This window comes from Homo sapiens, chromosome 13 (assembly GCF_000001405.40).
Source record: "Homo sapiens chromosome 13, GRCh38.p14 Primary Assembly".
NCBI lineage: Eukaryota > Metazoa > Chordata > Mammalia > Primates > Hominidae > Homo > Homo sapiens.
In genome coordinates this window covers 20,478,161-20,499,416 of record NC_000013.11, presented here as the reverse complement: position 1 = coordinate 20,499,416, position 21,256 = coordinate 20,478,161, and the positions used below count along the sequence as shown (strand labels likewise).

The 21,256-nt window shown below is 43.8% G+C and overlaps 1 protein-coding gene across 3 annotated transcripts in view, besides 1 other annotated feature; it reads left to right on the top strand.

The window, feature by feature from the left end:
- CRYL1 (crystallin lambda 1) overlaps positions 1–21,256 on the top strand; it is a 122,189-nt gene that overhangs the window by 26,441 nt on the left and 74,492 nt on the right. For all 3 annotated transcript variants that reach the window (NM_001363647.2, NM_015974.3, XM_005266416.6), the window contains exon 3: positions 9,921–10,047. In NM_001363647.2, the coding sequence (NP_001350576.1) occupies positions 9,921–10,047 (127 nt within the window). The remainder of the gene's footprint in view (positions 1–9,920; positions 10,048–21,256) is intronic.
- Positions 5,576–6,075: an enhancer, noted in NCBI's record as "H3K4me1 hESC enhancer chr13:21067481-21067980 (GRCh37/hg19 assembly coordinates)". NCBI's record gives its function as "activates a minimal SCP1, AML or CMV promoter by ChIP-STARR-seq in primed H9 embryonic stem cells {active_cell/tissue: H9 hESC(primed)}" and the evidence as "EXISTENCE:reporter gene assay evidence [ECO:0000049][PMID:30033119]".

Here is a 21,256-nt window from a genome sequence, read left to right as displayed (position 1 = left end):
TCGACCTCCCAAAGTGCTGGGATTAAAGGCATGAGCCACTGCGCCCGGCCACATTTTTTTTTTTTTTTTTTGAGACAGGGTCTCACTCTGTTGCCCAGGCTGGAGTGCACTGATGCGATCTTGGCTCACTACAGTCTCTGCCCCCTGGGCTCAAGCAATCCTCTAACCTCAGCCTCCAGAGTAGCTGAGACTACAGGCATGCGCCATCACACCCAGCTAATTTTTGTATTTTTTGGGTAGAGATGGGGTTTTGCCATGTTGTCCAGGCTGGTCTCTTTACTCCTGGGCTCAAGCAATCTACCCATCTTGTCTTCCCAAAGTGTTGCAATTACAGGCAAGAGCCACCATGCCCGGCTTAAATAATTCTAACATAACACATAAGCCTAATATGCCTAATATGTCTCTCTTGGACTTCAGGGAACCTAATAGCTGAAAAAGTTAGTTTAAGGTCAGAGAATTTAGAACTTGATATTTTGCTGTTGGGAAGTCTGTCAAATATCAAAGGTTTTAAGACACTTGATATCACAAAATAGGATCAGAAGTCACTATAAAACAGTCATTCATTTGGCCAAAATTATAATACAAAAACATTTTCTCTTTGATAGGAGACTGAGTTTCCTAAACATTAAGACCTAGTAAAGACAGCATGAGGCCAGCTAAATCTGTCTTTCTCCTTCCCTCTATTTGTTTTCTTCTGTGGTTTTACTGAAAAGGTAAATAAAAATCTCTTATCTCTTACATGAAAATTTTGTTCAAAAGAGAAAACCAAATTTTACCTTTGTATGGTATATTATTAATGTTAATGCTAATTTTAATAAAACATTATAAATAAATCTAATCAGTTTGACCATAAGGTGAGATTTCCATAAACTTTATAACCTTTTATAATTTTATATTAAAGAGCAGATCAATGCTCCAAGAAAACCCTGTTATTCCGACACACGGGCCTAGACACTGGCTTTCCATTAGGCAGTGTGTGTGTAGTGTGTATATGGTGTGTGTAGTGTGTATTGGTGTGCATAGTATGTATGTGGTGTGCGTAGTGTGTGTAAGTGGTGTGTATAGTGTGTGTATGAGGTATGTGCATGTGTGTGTAGTGTGTATATGGAGTGTGTGTAGTGTGTATGGTGGTGTGTGTGTAGTGTGTATATGGGGTGTGTGTAGTGTGTAGGGTGGCATGTATGTAGTGTGTATATGGGGTATGTGTAGTGTGTATGGTGGCGTGTGTATAGTGTGTATATGCGGTGTATGTAGTGTGTATGGTGGTGTATGTGTGGTGTGTATGTACTGTGTATATGGGGTGTGTGTAGTGTGTATGGTGTTGTGTGTATGTGTGGTGTGTGTGTAGTGTGTATAGGGTGTGTGTGTAGTTGTGTGTGTAGCTCTAGAGACAGAACTGTGACCAAAAGCATCAAAAATGTGATAAGTTCAATGCCAAAGTTATCAAAGTAAGACAACTAGTTTTCAATCCATCATTAAAAAATGGTAAATGAAAACATTAGTTTTGGAAATTCAATATGAGTATAAATCCTTATATTGTACTGTGTATATATGGTGTGTGTAGTTGTGTGTATGTGGTGTATGTATGGTGGTGTGTGTGTAGTATGTATATGTGGTGTGTGTAGTTGTGTGTATGGTGGTGTGTGTAGTGTGTATATGAGATGTGTGTGTAGTTGTATGTATGTGGTGTGTGTTTGTGTGGTGTGTGTAGGGCATATATGTGGTGTGTGTAGTTGTGTGTATGTGGAGTGTGGTGTGTAGTGTGTGTATGTGGTGGTGTAGTTGTGTGTATGTGGTATGTATGTAGTTGTGTGTGGTGTGTGTGGTGCATATATATGGTGTGTGTAGTGCCTATATGTGGTGTGTGTAGTTGTGTGTGTGTGGTGTGTGGTGTCTAGTGCGTATATGTGGTGTGTGCTGTGTGTAGTTGTGTGTGTGGTGGTGTGTGTGTAGTGTGTATATGTGGTGTGTGTAGTTGTGTGTATGGTGGTGTGTGTGTAGTTGTGTGTGTGGTGGTGTGTGTGTAGTGTGTATATGCGGTGTGTGTAGTTGTGTGTATGGTGGTGTGTGTGTAGTGTGTGTGGTGGTGTGTGTGTAGTGTGTATATGCGGTGTGTGTAGTTGTGTGTATGGTGGTGTGTGTGTAGTTGTGTGTATGTGGTGTGTGGGCACGCATGGCTCTCGCCTCTCAGGGTGTCCTCTATCTGAAGCCCCTGGTATCTGTAGCACCCCCCAACGGCCTCTTGTGTCTGGCCTATTGTGGTTGGATTTCTTTAGTAGTGGCACCGCTTTCAGTAAACTCTTGTCACCTCCCACTCCTCATTCACACTGTGTCCTCTTTGGTACCTGCAGATTCTGACCTTTTCCACGTCTCTCAGGAGCTATTGCGACTTGCTTTTCGTTGGCATTTTCCTTAACCCCATGCCTAAGTTTTAGCTTTCTCCACCTCATTCAATCATTTACCTGACTACTTTTGCATGATTTCCAATTTTCCAAAAAATTAGCATATTTTGTCCATTTTGTCTCCCAATAATCTCTGACCTTGTGGGCCTACACTTTTTTTTTTTTTTTTTGAGACGGGGTCTTGCTCTGGTGCCCGGGCTGGAGTGCAGTGGCATGATCTCTGCTCACTGCAGCCTCCACCTCGGGGGCTCAAGTGATCCTCCTACCTCAGCCTTTTTGCCATGTTGCCCAGGCTGGTCTCAAACTCCTGAGCACAAGAGATCTGATCTGCCTGCCTCGGCCTCCCAAAGTGTTGGGATTATGGGTGTAAGCCACCACACCAGGCACAGGTCTATGCTTTTAAAAAAAGATCCATTATTAGCCTGGTTTTACTAAGGTTTCTGGAGGGAGCAGAGATAAATAGATGTGCTTTATGTTACTGTGTGTAATTCAAAGTCCAGGACCTAGATTATTGCATGAATTAACGGGAATATACTAGCCAAAACGATTTTCTAAGTCATTCTGTAAAATCTATGAGCTTGTTATACCCTAAATCGACTTATTTCTAAATTCTAGTTCTCATGAAGTTTGGCCATCTTTGCCATTTTAACGTGTATAATAGTTGAGTAGCATTAAGTACGTTCACATGGTTGTGCAATCTGCAGAGCTTTTTCATCTTGTAAAACTGAACTCTGTGCCCATTAAACAACTCTTCTTTTGTGCCTCTGCCAGCCCCTGGCATCCACCATTCTACTTTCTGTCACTGTGAGTTTGACTGCTCTGGGTACCTGTTGTAGGTGGAGTCATATGGCATCTGTCCTTTTGTGTCTGGCTTATTTCACTTAAGCATAATGTTAAGTAAAAAGTTCATCCTAGGCCGGGCGAGGTGGGTCACACCTGTAATCCCAGCACTTTGGGAGGCCAAGGCAGGTGGATCACCTGAGGTTAGGAGTTCAAGACCAGCCTGGCCAACATAGAGTGAAAACCCGTCTCCACTAAAAAATACAAAAATCAGTTGGGTGTGGTGGTGCATTCCTGTAGTCCCAGCTATTTGGGAAGCTGAGGCAGGAGAATCGCCTGAAGCCGGGAGGGGGAGGTTGTAGTGAGCTGAGACTGCGCCACTGCACTCCAGCCTGGCATATGACATATGACAGGACTTCCTTCCCCTGTGGGGCCGAATAAGATTCCACCGTAGGTGTGAAACCATGTTTTGTTTATCCCTCCATCTGTTGGTGGACTTTTGGATTGCTTGCTTCTTCTGTTGTTGACAACACTGCTAGGAACATGACTGTGCAAATCTCTCTTTGCGATCCCGCTTCAGTTCTTTTGGATATATGCACAGCAGTGGGGTTCCTGGATCATATGGTGGCTCTATTTTTAACTTTTTGAGTTACCACCATACGTTTTCCACAGCAGCTGTGCCGTTTCCACATTCCCATCATCAGTGCACAAGGTTCCAATTTCTTCAGTCTTTTTTAAAAATAAATACATGCTCCTTTTGAGTACATTTCAAAGATAGAAACATTAAAAAAAATTAAAATCACCCATACCCTGTCCTACCGTGAGAATTGTTAACATTTCCTTTTCTCTAATTTTAAGTAAAAATTTAACTTTACTGGTTAGGAGCCAGTATTTTGAGTCCTAGTGTTAGGCTGACCTCTAGAGGTAGAACTGGCACATTGCAGCCTTCTACTAGTGCCTCTAACCTGACGTTAACTGTTAAGTGTGGCAATGCCACAGCCTGGTATGTGTGTGGCATTTGAAAATCCCGGTTGATTGGCACATCTTTTCTAGGTGTTTATGTACGTCTTCTACAAAGCTTGATGCAGAAGTTCTTCCAAAAGAATAAAAAAAATTGGAATTAATCTAACTGGGACAAAATGTTGCCAAAAGGCTGGGTTTGATTTGTGGCATGTGGATTTGTTGGCCCTAAAGAGAACACAGGGGTCTGTCTGCAGATGTCGGAAGCTCCTCCGCAGCTTTCACTGGACGTCCCTCGGGACCACACAGCAGGGTCCTGGAGTTTGCAGTTGGCTGATGGGTTCATGTGTGACCGTGTCTCTCCCTCATGCCCAGGTTCTCTGTCCTACCTGTGTGTGCTGCCCAGGGAGGAAGGGCCTGAGGCAGAACCACCACTGCACATTCCTCAGCCTGAGTCTGCTCTGAAAGAGGCGAGTGGTTGTGTCTTTTCTTGCCACTGCTTGCTGTCTCCATGGGACATTCTCATTCCGGGGTGGTCCCTGGAGGATCGAGGAACAAGAGACTCCTGTTCTCCCATTATCTGTCTAATCTCATGCAGTACTTTTGGGAAAAAAGGCTAAAAGTTTGCTTTGGATTAGTGGAAAGGTTTGAAGACGCACAGCTGGCCTACTAAGGCTTGGAGCAGGTGCTTTGAGCACATCAGGCGCTCAGACATAGTTTCCTAAAGGATGCAATGGTTACTCACTATGTTCCCAGACCTTGGCATCCAGAGACCCTGTGTGTGTTCAGTGGAAAGATGGTTGGGTGAGGCTGGGATGATGGCGCTAAGAGATTCATTTAGGTTTTGTTTACTTAAAAAGTGACAAAGAGGATTGGCGGTGGTTAGTTCTGGAGGGTGGAGAGATGAGGATGTTTATTATTCTTTCTACATTTAAAATTTCTTAAATAAATTATGAAAAGGAAATAGTCTTAGAAAAGCAATGGGCGCAGTATTAAACATCTCACTTATTCCTCCGTAACACAAAAAACTTTCAATTAAGCTGAAGTGAGTTTTTGCTTGGTAGCTACAAATAGCTCTTCTGCCATATGAATGTTTTTCTTCTGGTTGTGTTTATGGGCAGTGTGGTTGTCTTTTACCAATGTTGACTCCAAGGCTTAGCCACTGCTGCAGGTCAAACTTATATAAATCGTATAGTTAAAAACTGAAAAATTCAAATGTGTTGTAATCTCCAAACAAAGTCTGCGCTAGGCCCTTTCAGGCTATAAAGGACAGGGTACTCTGATTTCTGCTCTTGATGAGGGTTGATTGTGATACCAGGCGAGGGAGTAAGAGATACAGGACACCATCTCTGCGGCTGCATCTTTGTCGCAGAAACAGACATTGTTCAGGGGACACCTGAGCCTCTGATAGTCAGCCAGTGGCTCTGGCAGCTCACAGCAGTTATAGGGTGGCTGTGTCCTTTTCTAAAGTCCTGACTTTTTATGGCCTGTGGTCATGGTGACTCCACTACGGGCTGTGTTTCTGTTGCTCCTTCCTGCCCTCAACCAGTCTGCCCACTGTGGAAGTCTGCATTTCTTCTCCTTCTCCTTCTCCTTCTTTCTTCTTCTTCTTCTTCTGATGGAGTTTAGCTCTGTCGCCCAGGCTGGAGTGCAGTGGCGTGATCTCGGCTCACTGAAATATCCACCTCCCAGGTTCAAGTGATTGTCCTGCCTTAGCCTCCTAAGTAGCTGGGATTACAGGGATGTGCAGCCTCACCTGGCTAATTTTTGTATTTTTAGTAGAATCGGGGTTTCACCATGTTTGCCAGGCTGGTCTCAAACTCCTGAGCTCAGGTAATCTGCCCACCTCGGCCTCCCAAAGTGCTGGGATTACAGGTGTGAGCCACCGCGCCTGGCCTGGGTCTGCATTTCTGACCGCCCTGTCGCTATAGGGCTCAGGCTTCCCTTGGGCTGGTTACTGCAGCCACCACCGGCTGCCTATGGGCCTCTGCCATTGGCCCAGATTCACATGTGGGGTCCAGTCCGTGGAAGTCATGGTAGTAAGCTCACATGGCAAGAAGGTAATGGAGAATTTCAGAGGCCTGCCTCGGAGCACCAGTTCCAAGGGGTGCTTGACAGCCACAGCTGGCGGCTGCTCAGTCTTGCTAATCTAGAGCTTCGATTGTAACAGCCAACCCGAGTCTGTGCAAGATGGGAATCTAATTGGAGATCTCTGACAGAAGCTAGAGTTCTCTAACAGCTACATCATTGGCGAAAAAGAGAACTTGGATCCCCTAAATGGAGGGTCACCGGTGGGGGCATTGACTCTGAGTGGAGGGGAGGAAGAGTTTCTCTGAGAATTTATAACCATAGAGCAATCCTCAAATTCATACTACCTGTGTCATCTGGAAAACCCCCAAGCCAAGAATTCAGATTGGTTCCTTGGTTGGTAGCACCCCCAAGTGCCTGGCAGGAGCAAATTGCATATCATCCTCAGAACAATATACCTGCAACCACAGTTAGATGTCCAGATTTTTGGCATAGCTTTGGATGAGCCAGAACTTTACATGGCAAATGGGACGTTGCAGATGTAATTGAATTAAGAATGGCAAGATGGGGAGATTATCCTGGAATAGCTGGCTTGGCCTGGTGTAATCACATGGGTCCTTAGAGGGATAAAGGAGGAAGGAGACATGATGGCAGAAACAGGTGGGGCAGGGTTGGCTGGCTATGGAGGGGGAAGGGGTCATGAGCCACGGATGCAGGCAGCCTCTAGAAGCTGAGACAGGCCAGGAATGCATTCTCCCTGAAACCTCCAGAAAGAGTGCGTTCCCTGCTGACGCTTTGATGTTAGTCTACTTGGGGTTTCTGACCTCTAGAACTGTAAGATAATACATTTGTATTGTTTAAGCCACTGTTTGTGATAATTTGTTACAGTAGCAATAAGATATTAATGCTACTGCTTTATTGAGATAAATTTACATGTCATACAATTGACTCATTTGACACGTCCAATTCAGTGGTTTTATAGTATGTTTACAGAGTTGTGTAACAACATTTTCAAAGATGGATCAAAACATACTACACAGTGAATGATAAATGAGCTTTGGATCACATGGTGCTCTCTTTTCCTGAATAAAGCCACTTAAGAGGCACAGTCTGTGTTCAGGGAAGTGTGCTGAGTGCTGTTGATGCTGAATCGCAGGACCCTGTAGGACCCGTGAATGTCTGCGTTTCCTTTTTACCTTAATAGAGGAACCTTTTCTCATGACCCTTTTTGTTATATTTCCCTCCATGATGTTTCAAATATCTATTTACTGGCACTTACCTTGGACCAGTTCTTTTTTGATTTAGCTATTAGAAATCTTAAATTTCTAATCTGTTGCTAAGACACCTCATAGTACCCTATGCAACTAGTAAACTTCCAGATGAACTGGCCAAGACACATATTTGGTTTTGTATATTTTTCACTAACTTACTTTTGTTTTTTGCTTGCTTGTTTTTTGAGACAGGGTCTCGCTCTGTCATCCAGGTTGGAGTACAGTGGCACAATCATGGCTTACTGCAGCCTCCACCTCCTGGGCTCAAGTGATTCTCCCACCTCAGCCTCCCAAGTAGCTGGGACTACAGGTGTGCACCATCACGCCCAGCTAGTTTTTGTATTTTTTGTAGAGACGAGGTTTCACCATGTTGCCCAGGCTGGTCTCAAACTCCCGTCCTCAAGTGACCCGCCTGCCTTGGCCTCGCAAAGTGCTGGAATTACAGGCGTGAGACACTGTGGCTGGCCTCACTAACTTTATAAGCCTCTAATTCAAGGAATTTGTTCTATATGAAAATTTGAAAATGCCTGCTCACTGGGGATGGTGGTCCAGGATATTTAGTACTTAACACTGAGTTGTTTTGTGGGTGATGAGATCTGAGCAGGGATCAGTATGTTTGTCCTTATAATTGTCCAAAATAAGATAGCTGTTTTATGGCCCTATTTTAAGATAAGTAGATTTTTTTAAGCTGATATATTACGAATCTTCCAAATTACTTATATGAGAAAAACATCTCAAAGATTCTTTCCTTCCTTTTAAAAAAATTTAGGGCCAGGTGCTGTGGCTCACGCTTATAATCCCAGCACTTTGGGAGGCCAAGGCAGGAGGATCAGTTGAGCCCAGGAGTTAGAGATCAACCTGGGCAACATGGCGAAACCCCGTCTCTACCAAAAAATACAAAAAATTGGTCAGGCGTGGTGGCACGCATGTGTAGTCCCTGCTACTTGGGAGGCTGAGGTGGGAGATCACTTGATCCTGGGAGGTCGAGGCTATGGCGAGTCATGATTGTGCCACTGCACTCCAGCCTGGGCGACAGAGCAGGATCCTGTCTCAAAAAACAAAACAAAGCAAAAAATCAAATCAAAACAAAACAAAACCCAAAAAGCAAAAATATATTAAGAATTTTAAGAAGCTAACAGCAGAGCAGTAAACCCAGCACAGGCCCTTCTGAGCATGGTGGCCCGGGTGACCGCACAGACCACATGCCCCGAAGCCTACTCTGCTATAAGGTACCTTCTTTCAATCCTTCCATCCCAGGGGACTGACCCAAGGAAGAGGATTAAGAACCACTGTTTTCCAACATGCCCCCCCACCCCATCCCCTGCCATGAGATTGTTTCATTTTAAAAAAAGTAATTAAGATTTTAAGTTGTGGTAAAGTGTATGTAATAAAATTTCCCTTAATATTTTAAGTATATTAAGTATATTTACATTGTTGTGCTACCATCGCCATCATTCATCTCCAGCATGTTTTCATCTTCTCAAATTGAAACTCTGGACCCATTAAACCTTAACTCCCCATTCCTCAACCTCCAGCCCCTGGCAGCTACCAACATTCTAGTTCTGTCTCTGTTATTATTTTTTCAAGACAGAGTCTCACTCTGTCGCTCAGGCTGGAGTGCAGTGGTGCTACCATAGCTCACTGCAACATCTGCCTCCTGGGTTCAAGCGATTCTCCTGCCTCAGCCTCCTGAGTAGCTGAGATTACAGGCACGCGGCACAATGCCAAGCTAATTTTTCGTATTTTTAGTAGAGATGAGGTTTCACCATGCTGGCCAGGCTGGTCTCGAACTGCTGACCTCAAGTGATCCACCCACCTCGGCCTCCCAAAGTGCTGGAATTACAGGAGTGAGCCACCTAGCCTGGCCTGCCTCTATTATTTTGACTGCTTTAGATACCTCTTCTAGGTGGAATCACACAGTATTTTTCCTTTTGTGACTGGCTTATTTCACTCAGCAGAATGTCCTCAAGGTTCATCCATTTTGTAGCGTGTGACAGAATTTTCTTCCTGTTTACTGCTGAATAATATTCTGTTGTGTGTATGTACCATGTTTTTTTATCTACTCATCTATTGATGGATGCTTAGGTTGCTTCTAGCTCCTGGCTATTGTGAATAATGCTGCTGTGCACATGGGTGTACAAAAATCTCTTGGAGACCCTGCTTTCCATTATTTTGGGTTTATACCCAGAAGTTGAATTGCTGGATCATACTGTAATTCTGTTTTTGGGAACTGCCATATCTGTTTTCCATAGCGGTTGCACCATTTTACAGTCTCACCAGCAGTGCACAATGGTTCCAGTTTCTCCACATCCTTGCCAACAATTGCTAGTTTCTATTTTTGGTAGCCCCTAATGGGTGTGAGGTGGTATCTCACTGTGGTTCTGCTTGGCATTTCCCTGATGATTCCTGATGTTGGGCTTTATCTGTTTTTAAATGTGGTGTTGAATACTCACAGTGATCCTTCTCTCTGCCTTTCCAGAAAGGAGATGAAGTTGCTGGAGCAGGCAGGTTCTCTGAAAGGCTCCCTGAGTGTGGAAGAGCAGCTGTCACTCATCAGTGGTTGTCCCAATATCCAAGAAGCAGTAGAGGGTGCCATGCACATTCAGGTGAGTGAAGGACACTGGCGCCGCATCTGTGGGGCCTGAGACATTGTCTCCCAGCCTCTCCGGAGGAACAGGGCAGGATACAGAGCAGTGGCAGGTGTGGGCATTTTGCATCTTCAAGGGCAGGATTTTGTTTTATGTGATAGGAAATGTGATCCCCAAAACACCCTCTATCCTGGGTTCTCATCAAACTAGCGTGACAATGTTCTGTTTCAAGAGACCAATGCCTTATCCGTGAGGCCACTAGGGATTCTGGTGACAATGTTGTATTTTAGAGGCATTAACAGTTTTAGCAAAAATAGGTTTTCTGGACTGCTAATACTATTTTATTTTGTTTTATCATCTTATCAAATGACAGATTATATTATTGTTCTCATATGTAATTGAGCAAAAGCTTACATCATCAAAAAGAAAACCTTTCACTTGCATGTAGCCTTTCCAACAACTTTACTTTAAAAAAGAGAAATCCTCATGAGGGTTGTTTGCACAGCGGGATGAGCCTGGAGAGGTGAGTGGTCCCTGCAGGTGGAGCTGGGAGCAGCCCCTGTGGCTTGGCCCTCTTTCCAGGCATCCCGCTCCTGGAGCTCCTGTGCCCACGCACAGGCCCTGCCCTGTTGAAGAATCCTGAGGCATACCCTTGTCTTTTCAAAGGCTGCACTTACTGCTATAAGGTTTATGCAAATTTACCTAAAGCTAAAAGAGTCATTATTCCCAGTATCTTTCCTTGATATTTTGTGTTCTGAGATTTGCACATTTCACGTCGTTACTCTGTTGATATTCTAGCTGAGAATTTGGAAGCAAACCGAAAAGGCTGTGTGTGTTCTCTGGTCATTTCCTGCTCTAAGATTCGGGTCAAATACAGAAGATGGAGATTTTAGGTCTCTATGACTCTAAAATTTCTTAAAATTGTTAAATTCTCAATTTGCTAAAAATTCATTAAACAAATGTGTGTCACAACAGAACACAAGGAGAGGACTGTTTTTCAACTTCTTATCTCTTTCTAATATATTATCCTCTATCTCTTGATATGGTGAAGTTTGTATGAAGTTGAAGGGACTTTAAAGAGACCTGAGGGCTCCTAATGAGTTCCCAGTGCCACCTGTTTCTACCCGTAGTTGCAGGTGCTATAAGAGGAGTTGCTTCTGAAGAGCACAGATGTTCTCCAGGCCTGGTCTTGGCAGAGTTGCTTCTGAAGAGCACAGATGCTCTCCAGGCCTGGTCTTGGCAGAGAAGCTTCTTTCACATGAATTTAGTTTTATTTTTTATTTTTTTGAGACAGAGTCACTCTGTTGGCCCAGGCTGGAGTGCAGTGGTGTGATCTCGGCTCATTGCAGCCTCCACTTCCTGGATTCAAGCGATTCTCCTGTCTCAGCCTGTGGAGTGGCTGGGATTACAAGTGTGCACCACCACACCCAGCTAATTTTTGCAGTTTTAGTAGAGACAGGGTTTCACCATGTTAGCCAGGCTGGTCTCAAACTCCTGACCTCAAGTGATCCGCTGGCCTTGGCCTCTCGAAGTGCTGGGATTACAGGCGTGAGCCACGGTAAACTGCATGAGTTAAGTTTTTTTTGCTTTTTGTTTTTTGTTTTTTTTTGAGATAGAGTCTCGCTCTGTCACCCAGGCTGGAGTTCAGTAGTGTGATCTTGGCTCATTGCAACCTCCGCCTCCTGGGTTCAAGCGATTCTTGAGCCTCAGCCTCCCAAGTAGCTTGGATTATAGGCATAAACCACTGTTCCCAGCCGTGAGTTTAGTTTTTAAGGAAAGTATTTAGTTATATAATGTGATTGAAATATTAATAAGTGATCTATTATTATAATATTTCTACTTTCACATTTCACAGAATGCTTTTGTTCAAACTCTGGGCTGATATCTCCAACTTCAGCATGTTTGTCTTCATTACAATCACTTTTTGAGTCTCTCTGAACAGAGTTCCCAGACCATGTTACCTTTGCCTCTTGGAGATGTTTGCTATGCAGAGCTTTTTGAACCCATCTACAATGCTGGCACTGCAAATTTTATCCCCAGCCTCAAAGACTAATTCTCAAACATTTAGATGTTTTTTCCTTTTGTAATAATACACTTGTGATTCCATAGCATGGCAACTTGCTGTGCTTTTTTTTTTCTTTTAAAGAATCTTTCTATAGCTACTTTATAAATTTCCTAGCAGTAACAATTGTAAAGTCATCCCCTAGGAATAATTCATCTATCCATGTTAAATTTCTTTGTCTCCCCATCCCATTTTTTTGATAGTTTATCATATGATTTCTATAAACATCCAAAACTACCCTAACTGAATTAGTTCTGGTTAATGTGTCTCCCTCAAAGAGTATATTGTTTTTTATAAAGTGGTGAACCCTCCATAATATGAGAACATTATAATAGACTTGGGTAATAAGGCAAGTTTTTCTGTTAAAGAGTAATTTGGGGGGAATATGTGAATTTAGAAGGCATGTAAAGCACTTACATAGTACTTGGCACACAGAAAATGCTCAGGAAATGGTAATTATTTTATAATGTGGCCATTTATAACAATTTTGGTAATAAAGAATGACATGGGGCAGTATATGGCGTTCTGTACATGGTTGGCACTAGTGAAAACTGCTCTTTAACTACAGTCTATCTTTATTTTATAGATTAAATGAGTGTATTTACAAGGCATGACATGTTGAGCCATATCTATTATGTAGAACACAGAGCCAAGCCGGATGAGGAGAGGAAACTAGAGAAAGATGATGTAAACTAGTAGGTTTAATTCCTATGAGAGTTTATATTCTTCAGAAATTGTTGTACCTCCAGTACCAGAGAAAGGAGTGGGTAGGAATAGTTCTGACCGGGAGGCTTCGGGAAGGTTTAATGCAGGTAGGATTAGAGCTTGTCTTGACTTTTGACAAGTGGATTTTGGGGTGGGGGTGGGAGGATTGTGTGGGAGGAAGAGATGAATGAGATGAGAAGTCCCTTTGAGGATGTTTCTAAGGCCACGTTACAGACCCATTGGAAAGGTAGGAAAGGCTGGTCCAAGGTGGAAACCAAGTCGCCATGCTACGAATGCCAACCTGAAGAATTACTTAGGTGAATTGAGTAATACACAGTGCTTAGAGGAGTACACGAAGAGAAGCACCATTTATGTGTTTCTTTAAAGAAATAAAGATGAAGGCTGGGTGTGGTGGCTCACGCCTGTAATCCCAGCACTCTTGGGAGGCTGAGGGTGGCGGATTGCTCGAGCTCAGGAGTTCAAGACCAGCCTGGCCAATATGGTGAGACCTCATCTCTACTGAAAATACAAAAACTTAGCCGGGTGTGGTGGCATGTGCCTGTGGTCCCAACTACTTGGGAGGCTGAGGTGGGAGGATTTCCTGAGTCTGGGAGGTGGAGGTTGCAGTGGGCCGAGATCAGGCCACTGCACTCCAGCCTGGGCAACTGGAGTAAGACTCCATCTCAAAAAACAAACAAACAAACAAAATATTATGAGACCTGAAGAAAAAATAATTATAAAAAAAATAAAGAACTAAAGGGTTTGGATTTCAATCTAAGTCCTGATTAGAATCCTGCAAGGAAGGTATTTAGTAGGAGAATGAAATGAATCAGAAGGAAAGATGAGTAAGAAAAAAGAATCAGCAGTTCATTTTTGCCAGTTAACTGATTTTCTTGGGCATGTTTACACATTTCTTTTCTTTTCTTTTCTTTTCTATCTTTCTTTTTTCTTTGAGATGGAGTCTGGCTCTGTTGTCCAGGCTGGAGTGCAGTGGCGTGATCTCAGCTCCCTGCAACCTCCACCTCCTGGGCTCAAGGGATTCTCATGCCTCAGCCTCCTGAGTAGCTGGGATTACAGGCATGTGCCACCACACATGGCTAATTTTTTGTGTACATTTTTTAATAGAGATGGGGTTTCACCATGTTGGCCCGGCTGCTCTCTAACTCCTGACCTCAAGTGATCCACCTGCCTCCACCTCCCAAAGTCCTGGGATTACAGGCATGAACCATTGCGCCCAGCCTACACATTTCTTTATATGATGTAAAGCAAATTTAATCCTCTGAATTTTAAAACTAGTGCATAGGCTGGGCGTGGTGGTCCACACCTGTAATCCCAGCACTTTGGGAGGCCAATGTGGGCAGACTGCCTGAGCTCAGTAGTTCAAGACCAGCTTGGGCAACATGGTGAAACCCCATCTCTACTAAAAATACAAAACATTAGCCAGGCGTGGTGGTGTATGCCTGTAATTCCAGCTACTTGAGAGGCTGAGGCATGAGAATCACTTGAACCCAGGAGGTAAAGGTTGCAGTGAGCCGAGATGGAGCCACTGCACTCCAGCCTGGGCGACAGAGTGAGACCTTGTCTCAACAACAACAACAACAACAACAAAACCTAGTGCATATTAGTGTCTCAGGTTTACCAAACAAACAAGTAAATGAAACCCCCAGAGTGAAACCTACCTAATGCTGCCCCACATGTTTGTTAAAGTACATTAGTGTTTCTAACACAATGTAATGTTAAACATGTATCTTACCTAATTAAACATCTCTGTGTTGTAAAGAAAGTTTAGGACAATCCTGTTTAGGTTCATTATTCCAAAAATACTGAAGATTTTTGTGTATTTATATGTTTCCACTTCTCCTGTTTATTTTCTCTCTTTCTAATACATTTGAGATTATACTGTAAATAGAATTTTGCATCATGGTTTTTATTTAAAACTTAGAACATTTCCTGCTGTACGATGTGCTCGGGGCTGTATCAGAGAGAAGTGGCACAATCTTGGCTCACTGCAACCTCTGCCTCCTGGGTTCAAGCGATTATCGTGCCTCAGCCTCCCAATTAGCTGGGATTACATGCATCTGCCACTACACCCAGCTGATTTTTGTATTTTTAGTAGAAACAGGGTTTCACTATGTTGGCCAGGCTGGTCTCGAACTCCTGACCTCAAGTGAGACATATAATTTTTAGACTTAAAAAATTGTGATAGTCACCATTTGATGGCAAACCTGAAAGAAGCTTCCGTCTAAGAATTCCATTAAAGCTGAGGTTCCCAAAGTCCGCAGCCTCTGCCGGGCTGCAACCACTCATCTGCTGGCAACCACTCACCCGCCCTGTGGTGCTGCCTCATCTCAGGGTCCACAGACTTTTTGCCAGTGGCACCCTCTTAGCAGCTCTCACAGCTCCTTTTTCTGATTTATACAAGGGAAGGTTCTCAGTGTAGAAAAATCAATCTAGGCTACTTGGAGACAGTTTTCTTTTTTTAAAAAAAATTAATTGCTGTATTTTGGCCAGGCGCGGTGGCTCACGCCTGTAATCCCAGCACTTTGGGAGGCCAAGGCGGGCAGATCACGATGTCAGGAGATGGAGACCATCCTGGCTAACACGGTGAAATGCTGTCTCTACTAAAAATACAAAAAATTAGCCAGGTGTGGTGGTGGGCACCTGTAGTCCCAGCTACCCGGGAGGCTGAGGCAGGGGAATCACTTGAACCTGCGAGGTGGAGGTTGCAGTGAGCCAAGATCGCGCCACTGCACTCCAGCCTGGCGACAGAGCGAGAAGAGGGCTGGATGTGGTGGCTCATGCCTGCGATCCCAGAACATGGGGAGGCCACAGCGGGTGGATTACTTGAGCTCAGGAGTTCGAGACCAACCTGAGCAACATGGTGAAACCCCGTCTCTACCAAAAATACAAAAAATTAGCATGGCATGGTGGTGCATGCCTGTGGTCCCAGCTGCTTGGGAGGCTGAGGTGGGAGGATCACTTGAGCCCAGGAGGTGGAGGTTGCAGTAAGCTGAGATCCCGCCACTGTACTCCAGCCTGGGTGATAGAGTGAGACCCTGTCTCAAAAACAAACAGACAAACCAAAATAAAAGAAAGACTGTACAGAGCTCTTTTAGAATGATGATGTGGTACGTTACAGTCCAAGTGAGAAAGCTGACTTCATGTTGATGATATGGTCAGTCCAGATGGCGTGAACCCAGGAGGCGGAGCTTGCAGTGAGCCGAGATCGCACCACTGCCCTCCAGCCTGCGCGACAGAGTGAGACTCCGTCTTAAAAAAATAATAATAAATAAAAAATTACTTGCTGTATCTTAATTGTACATATTTGGGATTCATGTGTGATTGATTTGTGTGTTCAGTGTGTCATGGTAAAATCCCGGTGTATTAGGATATCCAGAACCTCACACGTTTATCTTTTATTGTGTTGGGAACACTATAAATCTTCTATTTTGAAATATATAACATTATTAACTCTAATTTCCCTACTGTATTATTGAATGCTAGACCTTGCTCCTTCTAGCGAACTGTATTTTGTACTCATTAACCAGCTTCTCTTCATCGCTCCTTCCCCTTCCTGGTAACTGCCGGCTGCGGGTGTCCACCATTCTACTCTCTACCTCCATGAGACCCACTGCTTTAGCTCCCCTACATGAGTGAGAACATGGGATCTTCGCCTTTCTGTGCCTGGCTTACTTCGCTTAATATAATGATCTCCAATGCCATCTATGTTGCTACAGTTTTCTTATAAAATATGTTGCTGTGGTTTTCTTATAAAAAGAAAATTATTACTATTTAGGGAATTGTTCACAAGCAGGAGGCAGAGTTTGAGGAGACGCGTGTGTGCGTGCGCACACACACGCGCGCACACACACACACACACAGACTGCTTGCCACAATGCTTCAACTAAAAATAATCCCACTGTCGGATCTGCCCAGCCCCAGGGGGCGAAGCCCAGTAATGGGAGTGTGGTTTTCCCCAGTGGATTGTTTTCTACCCAACCCTAGAGGGCGGGGAGCCTGGGTCAGGACGTTTCCTAATACTCTGCTGAAATCCGGGAGCACGCAAGAAAGAAACCTGAATTTCTAGAACTTAGTGCAATTTTGAAATCAAATCTTGCCTGGCAAGAAAACCTACTGTTCTGGAAAAATAAGTTTACTCTGAAAAGCTGGTCTCAAGCCTTGACTTTTAAAGCACATTAAAGCTCATTAGCCACTATGTCGAGGCCTTATCTAATCTCTGGAACTTAAAACCGGAGATCACAGTAGCTGGTGGGAGCCATGGGAATGATTTATAGAGTTACGAAGTTTAAATGGGGTTTCCTTACACAAAGTCAGAACAATCTGCAATAGCTGAAATCGAGAAGTTAAATGGATATTGTCTATGTAGATGATCAGAATTTGCATCTCAACTATATCTTTAAAATGGAGAGAATGCTAATCATTTTGAAAAGGACCTTCAGACACTGTCAGTAATTACAGGAAGTAGCGTTCTTTTGGAAATTTATTTGTTTTCTTAAAGGATTGTTGGACTTTCAGTCTTGGTTCACTGAGACTCAGAATATTTCTTCTTTTGGTAGAGATGGGTGTGGGGGTGGGGGGTTCAGGCAGCATTGGACACATGGGATGGCCAGCCCTGAGAATATTCGGGAATGTGCGAGGAAACTGGAGTTACACTTTTTCTGTTGTATGTGTTTTTTCTTTTTCCTTTCGAGATGGAGTCGCACCTTTGTCACCCAGGCTGGAGTGCAGTGGTGCGATCTTGATTCACTGCAACCTCTGCTTCCCGGGTTAAAGCAATTCTCCTACCTCAGCCTCCCAAGTAGCTGGGATTATAGGCGCCCACCACCATGCCGGGCTAAGTTTTGTATTTTTAGTAGAGACGGGGTTTCATCATGTTGGCCAGGCTGGTCTTGAACTCCTGACCTCAGGTGATCTGCCCGCTTCGGCCTCCCAAAGTGCTGGAATTACAGGAGTGAGCCACCACGCATGGCCATACGTGTTTTTTTCTTTAAAAACTGTAAAATCAGGTTTACAAAGATATAATTTCCATACAAGAAAATTCACTCGTTTCAGGGTTCAGTGCTATGTGTCTGACAGATGCGTACAGTCACGTATGAAATCAGCGTCACAGCTGGGGTTCAGAGCATAGAGCCTCTCCTTCCCTTTGCAGCTAATTTCCTCCCACCGTTCCCCAGGCCTTGCCCACCACTGATCTGTTCTTTGTCCCTATAGTTTTGCCTTCTCCAGAATGTTATGTAAAATGGAATCATACATGATGCAGCCTTTTGAGTTTGGTTTCTTTCACAGAGTAAAATGAATTTGACGTGGCTTGTGTGGTTGTGTTGATTGGTAATTTGTTGCTGAGTGGTATGACATTACTAAGGTGCGTGGGACTCTGGATGGACTGGGGCAAGCCCACCTCACACACTCACGAGATCATCTGGAAGCACGAGCCTTCAGTTTTCACTTGCGAAGTGTGAAAACATTCTGTCCTAATGTTCTACTAGCTTCCTGCCACAGCCCTTACTTTTCTGATGGCTTGCTCTTGCTTTATTCAAATAGTGTGCTTACAGAACTGGGCACGAGGTCTTATTTCTGTGAAGCTGTATTTTTATTTATTTGCTTGGCTTTTTTTTTGTAGTATGTATAGCTTCAAAGATATAATATGAGCAAGTAATGAAAAATGTTATACATTCAAGAGACAGGCAAGTTTTTCTCTTAATCTGTAATTATGTATTTATCTTCTTCTGTGACCAAATAGGACTTGAAAAAATGCTAAGTCAAAACATAAGAAGGACAGTAAAATAAAGTCTTAGAAGAGGAGGGCATCCTCATTGCATTCAGTGTGCCTGCAGGTGAGGACTAAACATGGCCAGCATTGTGGGTCCCCGCAGCATCCACGAACGGCAGGTTATTGGCATGATTTGCGCTGGCAGGCCCTGCAGTGATGGACGAGGCAGTGACCTGCCTGTGTCTCAGACATCGTGGGACCTGCAGGAGCATTAGGAAAGTACTCCACCATGATTTGTTCTCTTTGGCCTCTACCTTGTGGGGTGGAGTATGAAGTTATGTGTGCTGGAGCAGAATGTTAGAAGGCAACAGGCTTTGATCTTTGCCAGGAAGCCTGGCTCAAGGTCAGCGTTAGCCTGAATTTCTACTTTACCTTTCAGTTTGGGCATTTTGGCTTTTCCCCCTTCACAACCACCTGCCAATGGAAGACGGTAATTTTTTTTTTTTTGAGACAGAGTTTCATTCTTGTCACCCAGGCTGGATTGTTGGCTCACTGATCTTGGCTTACTGCAACCTCTGCCTCCTGGGTTCAAGTGATTCTCCTGCCTCAGCCTCCCAAGTAGCTAGGATTACAGGTGCCCACTGCTACACCCGGATAATTTTTATATTTTTAGTAGAGACAGGGTTTCACCATGCTGGCCAAGCTGGTCTCAAACTCACCTCAGGTCCGCCTGCCTTGGCCTCCCAAAGTGCTGGGATTATAGACATGAGCCACCATGCCTGGCCGTGCATTTTTTCAAAGAAGTAAATGTTTCTTCTTCATAATGTCTTTAAGTCTGGAAGGCTGGGATCTAGCTGTGTTGCGATTTTGACTTAGGTGTTAGGGAGTGGATGGGGAGGTCACCTGGTGTGTTCTTGCAGCAGTGTAGGAAAATGTAGTTCTTGGTAACAGCTTGGTCCATGACTTCTTGATGAACTGTGTGCCGTGGGAGAGCGCAGGGGCAGCCCCAGCATCCCTGTCTCAACACTGACATACTCAATGCTCTGTCCCCAGGGCTGGGCCAGCCAGTTTTCCTTCCAGGGTTCTTTAGGACAGAAACCCTCCCTTTAAAAAATATTATCTATAAATATTAACAAAGTTTGCATGCTACAAAGAGGAAGACATGCCTAATTCAATTCCTCTAATACCCATTTGTGACATTTTAATATATTTACCTCCAGCCTTTTTTCCACATATAATATTTATAATTGTAATGATAGTGTGTCTTTATAGATACAGTGTCATATTCTACTTATATTAATCAACATTTAACACTTTCTAGTGGCTGTGTAAGAGTCTGTCAAGTGGATGTATCAACTAAGTCAAATATCACCTAGAAAATAATGATCTTATGGCTACTTCCAGTACTGTGCGATTGTAAGTTAAACTTGGTTGATCATCCCTCTATCTCATTCTTCCATGCTTTTTGTGACTTTCTTCAGGGCAAGTTCATTCATAGGGAATTACTAGATGTAAGCCCCTTTCCAGCTCTTGATAACATTTTGCTGAGTGGCATTGTAAAAATTGCCAGTACACCTTCAGGAGTCATGTGTTAGCACAGTTGGATTTCAAGCTTGCCAGTGTTGGGTCTGCTGATCTTTAAAGTGATTATTAAAGTGTTACTTGAAAACATTGTCCCAGTTTGCAACAACCAATGTGGCATCATCCCAACATCCACATTCTTAATTTGGTTCCTAAAATAGTTTTAACCCTAAATTTCCTCTAAACTTAAACGGAATCTCAAATCCCTATTTAAAAGAAAGATGGCCAGGCGCGGTGGCTCACACCTGTAATCCTTTACAGGTGTAAAGGGAGGCCTTACAGACTTGGGGAGGCCGAGGTCGGGGGATCATCAGGTCAGGAGATTGAGACCATCCTGGCCAACATGGTGAAACCCCGTCTCTACTAAAATACAAAAAAAAAAAAAAATTAGCTGGGCTTGGTGTGGCGCATGCCTGTAGTCCCAGCTACCTGGGAGGCTGAGGCAGGGGAATCACTTGAACCTGGGAGGCGGAGGTTGCAGCAAGCCAAGATCGCGCCACTGCACTCCAGCCTGGCAACAGAGCGAGAAGAGGGCTGGATGTGGTGGCTCATGCCTGTGATCCCAGAACATGGGGAGGCCACAGCGGGTAGATTGCTTGAGCTCAGGAGTTCGAGACCAGCCTGAGCAACATGGTGAAACACCGTCTCTACCAAAAATACAAAAAATTAGTATGGCATGGTGGTGCATGCCTGTGATCCCAGCTGCTTGGGAGGCTGAGGTGGGAGGATCACTTGAGCCCAGGAGGTGGAGGTTGCAGTAAGCTGAGATTCTGCCACTGTACTCCAGCCTGGGTGATAGAGTAAGACCCTGTTTCAAAAACAAACAAACAAACCCAAATAAAAGAAAGACTGTACAGAGCTCTTTTGGAAGGATGATGTGGTATATTATAGTGCAAGTGAGAAAGTTGACTTCATGTTGATGATATAGTCAGTCTAGATGGAAACCAAATTGTCCCTTCTGCTTTAAAAGTTGTAGGTTGTTAAATTAATGCCCAAAGTCAAAATAAGCACATATCTAATAGAAACAATTTTATAAAGTCTGTTAAGTAGAAAATATAAATATAAGCTAAGAAAATACTTTTTGATCTTATCACTAGGTTAAAAACATGATAAGCCCATTCAAAAGTGGTCATGGCATACATATTTAA